This window comes from Homo sapiens, chromosome 7, assembly GCF_000001405.40.
Source record: "Homo sapiens chromosome 7, GRCh38.p14 Primary Assembly".
Classification (NCBI taxonomy): domain Eukaryota; kingdom Metazoa; phylum Chordata; class Mammalia; order Primates; family Hominidae; genus Homo; species Homo sapiens.
The window spans coordinates 101880767-101893467 of NC_000007.14; the positions used below are offsets into that span (position 1 = coordinate 101880767).

Here is a 12701-nt window from a genome sequence, read left to right on the forward strand (position 1 = left end):
TTGGAAAGACGGTGGGGTTCACGTGATGAAACACAGGCCATGACCCCTTTAGGAATTGGATGGAAGCCAGCCAGGCCAGGCCCCCCACCCCCAGGTCCTGGGTTGGGGCTCTGTGGGCCCAAGGAGTCCTCCAGAACCAAATTCTCCACTAAGAGCAATTTTTAAAAGAGCAGCTGCTCATCCCATGTCCAATTAGAGTGAGCAGATGTGTAAGAAACATGTCTTTGATTGATTTTGGGGGAGCCCCCCGCAGTTTGATGTTTTGCTTGGAGGTAGGGGAAACGGGGGCTGAGTTACAAGTATTACCTGTAGGAATAAACAATTCTTTTGAAACATCAGTAGGGAAGAAAGAAAAAAAAAGGCAGCTTAAGATTTATCTAAAAAGGAAGTGGAAAGTTAAAGTTGCTGGAGATCTCATTACTGTCTGTCTCGCTCACCGTAATTAAAAAATGCCTGAATGATCTTAATAACACATGATTCAGCTGACAAGCACTAATTGCCCTGTATCAGGCCAAGAGAAGATGAATGTTGTCAAGAAAACCACAAGTCAGACAAGCTGATTCTCTGTGAGTCTGACACCGTGTTCCCATGTACAGACCAGTTTTTACTGGAGTTCTTCCAGCATCAAAAGCAGCTTCTTACCTTCCCATTAATTTTCATCGCTGGCAGGCCCGAGTTGTTTGCGATACACTGACTACCTCCCTTGATTCCTCCTCGCTGGCTCAGGAGCTTGGGTCTGCAGACAAAATGTAAATATGTTTCTTGCTCTTATCTTTGTCCTTTTTCAGGGAAGAAATCTGTTCCCGTCCAATATGAATGCCCTGGTGGGCTTGTCAGTAAATTACATGGTATTTGGGAATTGATTTTCTGACGCCACCGATTTGTCAAGAACTTATCCTGCCTTTTCAGCGATTTGACAGCACCTGTTAGGCTGTAGGGCCATGTGATTGGGCAGTTCTCCTGCCGAGAAAAAGGGGACTGATGACTTTCTGTCACTTGGGCATCCAGAAACCTCCTTGAAGGTGGAGGTTATTGAGGGAGGAGGCAGGAGTGGAAAAATGCTATTGGTTTATTCCTGTGCTTTTATAGAACAGCCGAACCATTCTATGGCAATAAAACAGAATCACAGGGCAAGGTGCAGTGGCTCACACCTGTCATCCCAGTATTTTGGGAGGCTGAGGCAGGAGGATCGCTTGAGCCCAGGAGTTTGAGACCAACCTTGGCAACATAGTGAGACCTTGTCTCTACCCAAAAATAAAAAAAAAAAATCAGCTGGGCTTGGTGGTGCACGCCTGTAGTCCCATCTCCTCGGGAGGCTGAGGTGGGAGGATCGCTTGAGGCTGGGAGGTGGGAGCTTGCAGTGAGCCATGATCACACCACTGCACTCCAGCCTGGGCAACAGAGTGAGATCCTATCTCAAAAACAAACAAACAAAAAAGGAACTTGTTTCCTAGCAAGAAGCAGATGAGGCTGGTGAATAAGCATACCACATAAGTAAGTAATCCACTAACTTAGGGAATTTCGTGACCAGTCACTCAGCACGCCCTGTTGCGAAGGGGACGGCTGACCAATAGGATCATCTCAGAGTCACCCTCACACAACTTGGCTTAGCCTAGTTGGCAAAAGTGTCTCTTCAGAGACCTACCCTCCTGGAATTGAAATAAAATGAAAATTTGTGATGACGATCAGCTACTGTCAGTGTGACTTAGGTGTAGAAATTAAAAAAGAAAAAAAGACCACTCTAAAGGCATTTGTGCATGAAGACACCTACAGAAATAAAGCCGGGGTGCTGTTCTTGGTCTTCATTCAGGCTAGCACCTCTCGTCACCTTTTCACTTTGGAGCTCAGGGCCTGGTTCACTCAGCAAGTGAGCGGCTCACACAGTAGATGCTCTGCACATAGTAGTAGGTACTCAGAATATAGCAGCTGTTGATGTACATGTTTCCAGAGGGGCCAACACAGGAATCTGCACGTGGGTCCTTGCTTTAAGCCCAGCCCCTCTCTGTGGGCGTGGGATGGAGTCTTCCTTTCTTGGTGACCGGCGCCCTCTGGGGTCACTGGAGGCCTGGACTTCCCCACTGGCCCAGTGACCTTGTTTCCTTGTTCCCTGTCTCGCCCAGCCTTGGCTGTCCTGGGATTTGAAAATCTGGGATAAAGCCTTTTTCGGGCCTCTAAGGCCCTGCTGGTTCTGCGTGTTCCAGAGAGCTGCACCTCTGGGTGGTGAGCTGGCCTTTTTGGCATTTGATTTATGTATAGCCCTGAGTCACTGGGAGCGGATCTAGAGTCCAGGCCAGTGACTGATTTCAAACGCTAACACTCTTGGCTCGGGCTCAGGTTTCAAGTCAGCCTCCAAAGGGGATGTTTGCTCATTTCGTCATCTTCCTATCACAGCAATTTTCGTCATATGGAGGGGTGGCACTCATGTACCTTGATGATTATTATTCTTTTAAAAAATGAAGTTATTTATGTTATGGGGTGAGTTCGTCACACAGTCCGAATGTGGAATGTTGCCATCCTTTTCATCCCAATCCTGCCAGTGATTTCTGTTTACAATAGAACTATTGACATTGTATGGGGATGAAACTAGCATGAGATAGTAATTGTTGGCTTGCCTGAGATTTTCATCATATGTACACATAGACAAAACCTGGCTTTAGTTCCTAAAGCTATTGCTGTTTATTGTACTTTTATTAGCCAATGTTACAGATCCCCGTAGCATGCCAGAGGCTATTAAGAAATACAGGGGTCGGGGGCAGGAACGAAGTCCCTGGCCATGGATCATGCAATTGATCTATAGTTATTTTTTTTTCTTTTTCTTTAATTTTTTTTTGAAATTTTAAATTATTATTATTACTGTTTTTTGCGATGGAGTTTCACTCTTGTTGCCCAGGCTGGAGTGCAATGGCATGATCTCCCCCTCCCAGGTTCAAGCGATTTTCCTGCCTCAGCTTCCGGAGTAGCTGGGATTATAGGCGCCTGCTACCATACCTGGCTAATTTTTGTATTTTTAGTAGAGATGGGGTTTCACCATGTTGGCCAGGCTGGTCTTGAACTCTTGACCTCAAGTGATCCACCGACCTCGACCTCCCAAAGTGCTGGGATTACAGGTGTGAGCCACCATGCCCGGCCCAAATTATTATTATTTTTTATAAGATAGGATCTTATCACACAGGCTGGACTGCAGTGGTGCAATCATAGCTCACTACAACTTCCAACTTTTGGGCTCAGGTGATCCTCCCACCTCAGCCTCCTGAGTAGCTGGGACAGCAGGTACATGCCACCATGCCAGGCTAAGTTTTAAAATTTTATTTTGCTAGGGGGTCTCGCTGACTTGCCCAGGCTGGTCGTGAACTCCTGGCCACAAGTGATCTTCCTGCCTTGGCCTCCCAAAGTGCTGGGATTATAGGTGTGAGCCATGCTTTTGGCCAATTTTTAGTTATTGTGGATACATAATAGTTGTACATATTCATGGAGTACTTGTGATGTTTTGGTGTAAGCATACAATGTGTAATGATCAAGTCAAGGTAATTGGGATATATACTTATAGTTAGCCTACAGTCTTATTGATAATGTTCTCAGAAATTTCTGATTCCAGAGCTCCTTGCTCCTCTCCCATAATTAGATAACGTGTTTTTCTGTCCGGTAATTGCTGTAGTACTCATTTTTAGATGGGGTAGGGAAGGCCATGTGCCATGTTGGGGCCTCATCCCAAAGACCTTGTGCTGTTTGGGACAGGTAATTATTTAAAGCCCCGTGTGAGGTGGGTGGGTGTTAAACTCATGCTCTCCACACCTTCCCAGAGTGCCTGGGAAAGCAGGCTTCTCTAAGAAAGTGGAATAGCGAATAGGCAGTGATCCCTGAGAGAGATACATAATGATTGTCAGTTTCATGGATTACAGATAATTCCGTTTAATGTCCTCTGTTTTTCCTTTTTGCAAATTTCTATGCATTATATAGAACATTGACTTTAGCATAGAAAGTGCTAATTCTTGATTTGGCACTTTAATGGATATTTACACAGTGACACCATAAACATTGGATAAACAGAGGATTTGTTTTAATGAGATCTTCAGTGATTTGAAGCCGTTTCCCCCTTGCCTTCTGGAATCCCCGGCTCCAGTTCTGCCTGGTTTTGGTGATGCTGTCACAGTGGAGGGCTGACTGCAGGCCTCGACTGTGAGCCCTCACTCGGCCACCTTTTCATTTCCTCGCTGGGTTCCAGGCTCTTTGAAGCACTCGCCTCCTCCCCTCCCTGCATGTCCTCTGTAGTGCCTATTTCTGTGATTTGCATATAGCGGAAATATTTGTTGAACTGAATTATTTTTACACACAAGCCTTTCATGTGGCCAACATTTTGAGGTCTGTCTCCTTTGGCGGGAGTCTGGGAGGAATCTTCCAGTTCACTAAGAAGTGTTTGATAGCTTCAGGGCAGGCGTGCCCTGATTGGGGCTGGATGCCCTGCCTCCATCCAGAGGCTCTCTGGCCAGGAGGGGAATGAACCAAGTGCCCAGATTCCCCCCTACAATGTTTATGCAGAGGTGACTGTCACCTGCCAATGGTGACAGTCCACCAGGGAAGTCCAGAAGGCCTTTGGATTAAAGCTACAGGAGAGGCAGGTCCCCTTGCAGGGTCAGAAGGGGAAGAGAGAAGAGAGAGAGAACCAAAGGTGGGAGGTTCAGCTACTCGGGAGGCTGAGGTGGGAGGATCCCTCAAGCCCAGGAGGTCAAGTCTGCAGTGAGCTATGATTGCACCACTGCTCTCCAGCCTGGGCGACAGAGCGAGACCCTGTCCCAAAAAATAAAAAATAAAGATGGAAAGATGGGAGGATTCTCCCCAGGAAGGCCCAGGCCGCAGGGTCCCCTTGTCCTTAAAGGCCAGCTCAGTGAGGCTACAGGTCCCCTTGCCCCAGTTCCCCGAGCACAGAGCAGGCATGGCCTCGGACGACTTCCTCTTTGTGTCTCGTGGACTACTCAATAAATATTAATGTTTTCCAAAGATATCTTGCCCAGCTCTCCCTGACGAGGCTGTTGGCTTGAAGGAATAACAACACTCGTTGCACTCACGGAATATTAAGTCTGTGCCAGGGCCTGTTCTGAGCTCATGACTTGTGCTACTCGGTCTCTCCCCACAAGCTCACAGGGCGGATGCTATTTTCACCGCCGTTTATAGGAGAGGAAACTGAGGCACAGGGTCCTTCAGTGACTGGCCCCCATGAGCAGGCAGCACATCTGGAATTCCAGCCTGTGCAGCCTGGCCCCAGGATCCCCATGCCTCTGTGGGGGACACTCTGGAAGTGACAGGTGAGGCACTTCTCTGGCCTCTCTGGATCTCCTGCTGGCCCTGAATGTGGGTGGTTACCCTTTTGGGGTGCTGTCGGTGCCTCTTAGATGTCTCAGTGACCCTACAGGGTCTGCCTTCCATAGGACTGCCTTTTTCTTTTTTTTTGAGACAGGTTCTCACTCTCCTGCCAAGGCTGGAGTGCAGTGGCACAATCTCACCTCATTGCAACCTCTGTCTCCTGGGCTCAAGTGATCTTCCTACCCCAGCCTCCTGAATAGCTGGGACTATAGGTGTGCGCCGCCATGCCCAACTAATTTTTTTTTGTAGTTTTTTTGGTAGAGATGGGGCTTCACTGTGTTGCCCAGGCTGGTCTCAATCTTCTGGGTTCAAGTGATCTGTCCACCATGGCTTCCCAAAGTATTGGGATTACAGGTGTGAGCCACTATGCTCGGCCGGCACCCACCTTTTTGTGGACTTTTCTTTGTTGACTTGGCATTCGGCAAGGTGTAGGCTTTTGCCACCAACACGATACCCGTGGGGAGAAGCCCCCTGGCCCCCGTGCCTGCCAGAAGAAAGGCTTAGGGTCCCCTGCGAGGACCCACACGTGCACTGCATGCCTGGATAGCCCATGCCAGCCTCACTGAGGCTGGATTTAGTTCCTGAGTATGTTATGGAGAAGTGCCCAGAGCAGGGACCGCAGGCACAAGGTGGGCCTGGCCTTTGGAGGAGGCTGGGCACGGCCACCTGCTCCTCCTCTCTCCCATGGGCAGGTTGGCCTTGTTGCCATTGGAAACTCTTGAGAGCCCACGGGTGTTTTCTGGCCATGTGACCTAAATGGGAGGCTTGCTGAAGGGTAGATGCTGCTTCACCAGCAACAAGAGGAGCCCCCAGACCTCAGCCACAGGATGGCCCCCACCCTGCTGAGCCCCCACTCTTCGCTCCCTGCTCAGCAGAGCAACACATACCATTGCCCAAAGGATGGACCAGGCACAGCGTGGGGCCCAATAGCAAATGTTCTGACGAAGGAGGTCAGTGCCGGACACTGCTGGGCGTTGTTGAGTCCTGGGCTGGCAGGGACAGTTTTGCAGGGACGGTTTGGAAGGGGCTTTGCTGGGGAGGGGGTCTCTAGGAGGGGCAGCCCCTGAATAGGGCAGCCGAGTTGCTGTGACTGCATCTTCCTTTCTTTCCGATGGGGGCAAAACTCACTCTTCTTTTTAACCATTCTCTGTTATCTGTTTTTCTTTTCTTTTGAAACTTTTTTTTTCTTTCTTTTTTTTTAGAAAGAGGATCTTGCTCTGTTGCCAGGCTACAGTGCAGTGGTGTGATTATAGTTCACTGAAGTCTTGATCTCCTGGGCTCAAGCAGTCCTCCTACCTCAGCCTCCTGAGTAGCTGGGACTACAAGTGTGAGCCACCATGCCTGGATAATTTTTATTTTATTTTTTTAGAGATAGGGTCTTGCTATGTTGCCCAGGCTGGTCTTGAACTCCTGGCCTCAGGTGATCCTCCTGCCTCGGCCTCCCAAAGTGCTGGGATTACAGACATGAGCCACTGCACCCGGCCATGTCCTCTTTTTCTGATTCGGGAGGATAAGGGCTCCCCATGACACTGGCATCAGCATTGGGAGCATTTCCGTGACCCCAGGGCTGCTGATACACCCTGTGGACAGGGCAGGACCCACAGCTAAGTCAGTAAAGCACCATCCTCTGGGAGTGGCTGTCATACGACATTTCTTGCTTTTAGGACCATTGGACTGAAAAACCAAATCCTGCCACTGGATCTGGTGATGACGGTGACATTTTTTTTTTTTTTTTTTTTTGTTTAGAAGCTTATGATTCATCGGATCTCTTTTGGTTTACGGAAAGCCCAGATGTCGTGGTCCCTCTGCGTGCCCACTCCAGGAGAACGCATTCAATGTCAAGGAACCCTGTAGTGTGCAAAGTTGGATTTAGGGATTTCCCGAATAAAGCTCACTGAGGGTCAATGAGTTCCATAAACATTATTGAGGCCGGGTGTGGTGGCTCACGCCTGTAATCTCAGCACTTTGTGAGGCTGAGGTGGGGGGATCACCTGAGGTCAGAAGTTCCAGACCAGCCCTGCCAACATGGCGAAACCCCGTCTCTACTAAAAATACAAAAATCTGGGTGTGGTGGCACATTCCTGTAATTCCAGCTACTCGGGAGGCTGAGGCAGGAGAATCTCTTGAACCCAGGAGACGGAGGTTGTAGTGAGCCGAGATCGTGCCACTGCACTCCAGCCTGGGTGACAGAGTGAGGCTCCGTCTCCAAAAAAAAAGAAAAAAAAATTATTGAATGTCTTCCTTGTACCTGACACTGTGCTTTATCCCATTTAATTCCACTGGATAATATGTTAAATTCAGACTTGTTCGTAGATTTATATACATGTACATATCCCTCTTAATACATTGGTTTATTCTGTTTCTCCATGTTCATACCGCCAGCCTGATGCCTCATTTGCACAAATGAATGGATGAGTGAATCCAGCTTATTCTTTTATTTCTCCCTGGGATCTGGTATACAAGAGATGGTTATTTTTTAATTTGAGACAGAGTCTCACTCTGTCACCTAGGCTGGAGTGCGGTGGTGCAATCTCAGCTCACTGCAGCCCCTGCCTCCTGGGTTCATGTGATTCTCATGCCTTAGCCTCCTGAGTAGCTGAGATTACAGGTGCACACCACTATACCCAGCTAATTTTTGTATTTTTGGTAGAGTCAGCATTTCACCATGATGGCCAGGCTGGTCTTGAACTCTTGACCTCAAGTGATCCACCTGCCTCGGCCTCCCAAAGTGCCGGAATTATAGGGGTGAGCCACCACACCTTGCCAAGAGATGGTCATTAAAGTTGAATTTTGGCACTCCTTGCAGAAACCCTACAAAGTTGGTATCACCTCTATTTTGCATATCAGAAAACTGATGCTGGCCAGGTGCAGTGACTCATGCCTGTAATCTTAGCACTTTGGGAAGCTGAGGCAGGAGGATTGCTTGAGGTCAAGGGTTCAAGACCAGCCTGGGCAACATAACCAGACCCCGTCTCTACAAGAAAATTAAAAAATGAGTTGGATGTGTACCTGTGATCCCAGATACTTAGGAGGCTGAGGTGGGAGGATTGGTTGAGTCCTGGAGTTTAAGGCTGCAGTGAGCTATGATTGCACCACTAAATTCCAACCTGGGCAATGGAGCAAGACCCTGTCTCAAAAAAAAAAAAAAAAAAAGTGCTGAGAGAGATCGTTTCCCGAGGGTCTTTGGATAGTTTGTAGAAAAACAGTACTGTTCCTTCTAAAGCCCTGTGGCTTTTTCCCTATTCCAGGTGCACATTGGCCTTTGAGGCTGGAAAACACTTTTACTTACTTCCAGCTTTATGGGATTCATAAAATGGCCTTGAGAAAAGTAAACCGATTTTTCTCCTTCTAAAAACATCCAGTGGGCCGGGTGCAGTGGTTCACACCTGTCATCCCAACACTTTGGGAGGCCGAGGCCGGCGGATCACTTGAGGTCAGGGGTTTGAGACCAGCCTGGCCAGCATGGTGGAACCCCATTTCTACTAAAAATACAAAAAATTAGCTGGGCCTGGTGGTGAGCACCTGTAATCCCAGCTACTCAGGAGGCTGAGGCAGGAGAATTGCTTGAACCTGGGAGGTGGAGGTTGCAGTCAGGCGAGATCACACCGCTGCACTCCAGCCTGGGCGACAGAGCAAGACTATATCTCAAAAAATAAATAAACAAATAAATACATCTGGTGCAGGTAAAGTGTTCAGGAAGTAATTTCCTGGAAGAGGGAACTCTGCAGTTGCAAATGCGGCCTTCTTACAAGTCGCTTGTAGGGTGTTGAAACTCTCTCGCGATCCCAGTGACTTGAGATGCTCTGTTTTCTGGATAACTAAGCTTTTCCACCTTCACTACGGGGTACCAGGGTCTTTGTAGCAGAGAGGCAGCTGTCTTGATGGTGGAACCACTCCCGCCAGTGTGTGGTGGGGTGCCCCCGGGGATTTAGGGAGAGAGAAGGCCAGTGGCAGGGACTGGCTGGAGGAAGAGGGTGCGAGGAAAAACACTGGCTGACATTTGAAGGAACGTGCTTCAGTATCAGGGAAGGCCAGCGTGGGATAATCGGTGTCTTGGCAGATGGGGTTGACGGGGAGCCCTGAAGCCGGCAGTGTTTAGAGATTCAAAGAATAGGGGGGCTGTGGGGAGTCTTTTGGTTCACAGCAGTGTCCCCCAAACCGGCACAGTGGGATGAGAGTGGGCTGGCCAGGGAAGGGGACAGGGTGTTAGGTCCAGAGGTGCTAAAATCCCCAACCATGGTCAAAATGGGGACATGAGAGACTCGGGGTTCAGAGCTCACATGAAGGACAGCTGTCCCCCCCTCCACCCCCGCCTTGGGTCAGAGCTGGCTAGGAGAGCCCACCCTGCAGCCTGTCCTTCGTGGGAATCAGCATGAGGGGTGCAAAGTGCTCAGCAAGGCCCGGCACCAGGTTTGTTCTTGGGATCAGAGTGATACACGCGCCTTACATTTTTTTTAAGCTGCTGGTTTTGCGGGTCAGTACGGGGAAAAACGGTGAGTCCCTTTTATAAAATATATAGAGAGGTTGGTGCGAAAATAGCAGCTTGTTTCTGCTTGCGTATTTCTACTCACTGCTGGGACACAAATCTACCCTTCCATTTTCTGAATTGTATTCATTCAAACTCTGATTTAACCTCTATTTAGTTAATGAATTGGGCAAGTTAACCTCGAACTCTTCCAGGCTGTGGCTGTTACCGTCACCATCTCCTGCTTCTCACTTTACACACTCATATGAGACCTTTTTTATTTCTGAAGTGTGGCCTGACATTGTTTAGGCTGTTGTTTGGTGCTTATTTTTAACTCTTCTTTTGTCACTTAAGTAGGATGTCTTAATTCTTGTTTAGTGTTAGATCACTTAGCAGGATTTTTTTTTTGAGCGGGGGCGGGGGGAATATGATTTTGTGTCACATTTTGAATACTTCTCTATGGCAGTATCTTTTAGAGTTATTATGGACCCTGTAATTCTGTTCTCAAAGACGTTTAACCACTAGAGGTAGACACCAAAAATGTTTTATTTGTCTCATTTGGGACTCTAATTCAGTGAAGTTGGCTGTTTGGAGTCTGAGACTGGATCTGTTTTTTTATTTTGTTTTGTTGTTGTTTTGTTTGTTTTCAGACAGGGTCTTGCTCTTCTGCCCAGGCTGGAGTGCAGTGGTTTGATCACAAGTCACTGTGGCCTCTAACTTACATGCTTAAGCAATCCTCACGCCTCAGACTCCCGAGTAGCTGGGACCACAGGTGCTCACCACCAGGCCCAGCTGACTTTTGTATTTTTTCTAGAGACAAGGCCTCATAAGTAGTTGTTTCCCAGGCTGGTCTCAAACTCCTGGGCTCAAGTGATCCTCCTGCCTCAGCCTCCCCAAAGTGCTAGGATTATAGGCATAAGCCCTCACACCCAGCCAGGACTGGATCCCTTGACTCACTTAATGATCGGGGTTTACTTCTGACCTGCATGGGGTGCTGTGGGGAACCCAGAGATCAATAAGACAGCCCGTACCTTCTTGGAGCTGTATTTAGCAGGGTCATAGAAGACGCACTCATAATCAGAAACCATCCAGAATGTGACTTCTGGCCAGGGAGAATAGGGAAGGGTTCATGGAGATGGTGGCATTTGATTGAATTCTGAATTTGGGGTTGTAGGTTTCAAATATTAGTTTGGGGACAGTCATCCTTTTATTTTCTTCTCTAAATTTAAAGAAATTGTTATTTTTAAAAACCAATTGGAATGGGTATTGAATTTCTGTGTGGAGAATGTCTACCAGTTTTTCATCATTTTCTCCACTGTATAGTGTCAATAAGTGTTAAATGCAATGGTCTGTAAGACTTTGTTGATAATTTTCTTTTCTTTGACATAGACTTGTAAACTGGAAACCCTGTGTGGGTAATGGGCAGTGCCTATTTCAGCATCTTGTCCCCAGAAATCCACTCCCTAAAAGGCTTGTTGAATGAATCAGATCTAGGAGCATCTCTTTTGTGTTGGAGCGGAGAGTCAGTCCGGACTTTGAGCCTCTCCTTGCACTGACCAGCGGCAGGCTGAAGACAGTTGGACTTAAGAAAACTTAATCTAGAAGCAATATGCTGGTCAGATTCTTTCAATGCTAGGTTTAGTATCGTTCCTTTTTCTCCCATTTGGTGAAGTGGTGTAATGCTTTAGCACATTTTAAATAAGATTACACAAGCGGCTGTTAGTTGGCATCAAGAATCTTTTAATCTGGAAAGAAAATGTTACCTCCTTCATTTGCAAAACAGAGTGTTTCTGGCACCGTATCCCAAAGTGTCTTCTGGTTGTTCCGTTTTTCAGAAGTTACTGTGGGCTTCTAATTACCCTCATTTAGACATCCAGGACAGAAATTGCCACTTCAACAAGAAAATTTTGTAATGAGCCGGAGGAAATGGTCTCATCATTACTACGTTATACGCAGTCTGAGAGTCTGCGTGGATTTTTATTTCACAAGAATGTGACTGTTTAATTGAAAAATGTTGTTAAAATGTGCTTTCTGTTCCTATCAGTATGTTGTTAGTGCTTATATAGCCATGCTCGAGTCAGTGAAAATTGGTGCCCTTTGCCAAAATACTTTTTTTCATTTTTGTGTATAATTTTGTGAGCTAGGTCTATTTTTGTTTAATTAGGCCCTGCAAGAGAATGAGGGAGAGCTGTATTTAAATTTTTAGACCATTAAAGGGCCTAAAACTATCCTAGATGAAAGGCCCCCAAAATTAGCTTTAATATTTATTATATGAATAAAACCAATAGGGAAAACGTTTCCAGAAACCCTTTCTCTTTTTCCTTCTTCAGACAGCTGGCTAAGATTAATTGCAGGCCTGAACGTGGGCATGTTTGCTAGTTTCTCTTGTTCTATTACTAGAAAATAACTCTTAAGAGAGGAGAGAAATACCGTCTTCTTGTATTTGGGGGGCAGGCTGTACATTTTATAACTCACTAATATAATGAAATGTTTGTTGATAACATCATATTTTGCTTTCTGATAGAAAAGTCCTAATTTCTATTTTCTTTTTACTTTTTATTTTTATTACTTTTTTTTTTTTTTTTTTTTTTTTTTTAAAATAGAGATGAGGGCTTGCTGTGTTGCCCAGGCTGGTCTCGAACTCCTGGGCTTAAGCAACCCTCCTACCTCAGCCTCCCAAAGTGCTGGGATTACAGGCATGAGCAACTGCGCCTGGCAAGTTTGTTTTACTTTTTATTTTTATTACTTTTTGTTTCTAATTTCTACTTTCGACAGGATTCCTTTTAAAATTTTAATCTAGGAAACAAAACTGCACGTGAAAGATTTGCCTTGTAGACGGAAAGTTCTGGAAACATCAGCTCCAGGCTGTGGTGTGAAG

At 46.8% G+C, this 12701-nt stretch overlaps 1 protein-coding gene across 25 annotated transcripts in view, besides 4 other annotated features; it reads left to right on the plus strand.

The window, feature by feature from the left end:
• Positions 1-12701, plus strand: part of CUX1 (cut like homeobox 1) — a 467952-nt gene that overhangs the window by 64760 nt on the left and 390491 nt on the right. The window lies entirely within an intron of this gene.
• Positions 2815-2982: a silencer, noted in NCBI's record as "fragment chr7:101526861-101527028 (GRCh37/hg19 assembly coordinates)". NCBI's record gives its function as "represses an EF-1alpha promoter that drives an FKBP-Casp9 reporter gene in an ReSE screen in K562 erythroleukemia cells {active_cell/tissue: K562}" and the evidence as "EXISTENCE:reporter gene assay evidence [ECO:0000049][PMID:32094911]".
• Positions 4094-4143: an enhancer, noted in NCBI's record as "active region_26411". NCBI's record gives its function as "activates an Ori minimal core promoter by ATAC-STARR-seq in GM12878 lymphoblastoid cells {active_cell/tissue: GM12878}" and the evidence as "EXISTENCE:reporter gene assay evidence [ECO:0000049][PMID:35858748]".
• Positions 4714-4763: a silencer, noted in NCBI's record as "silent region_18497". NCBI's record gives its function as "represses an Ori minimal core promoter by ATAC-STARR-seq in GM12878 lymphoblastoid cells {active_cell/tissue: GM12878}" and the evidence as "EXISTENCE:reporter gene assay evidence [ECO:0000049][PMID:35858748]".
• Positions 9481-10191: an enhancer, noted in NCBI's record as "H3K27ac-H3K4me1 hESC enhancer chr7:101533527-101534237 (GRCh37/hg19 assembly coordinates)". NCBI's record gives its function as "activates a minimal SCP1, AML or CMV promoter by ChIP-STARR-seq in naive H9 embryonic stem cells {active_cell/tissue: H9 hESC(naive)}" and the evidence as "EXISTENCE:reporter gene assay evidence [ECO:0000049][PMID:30033119]".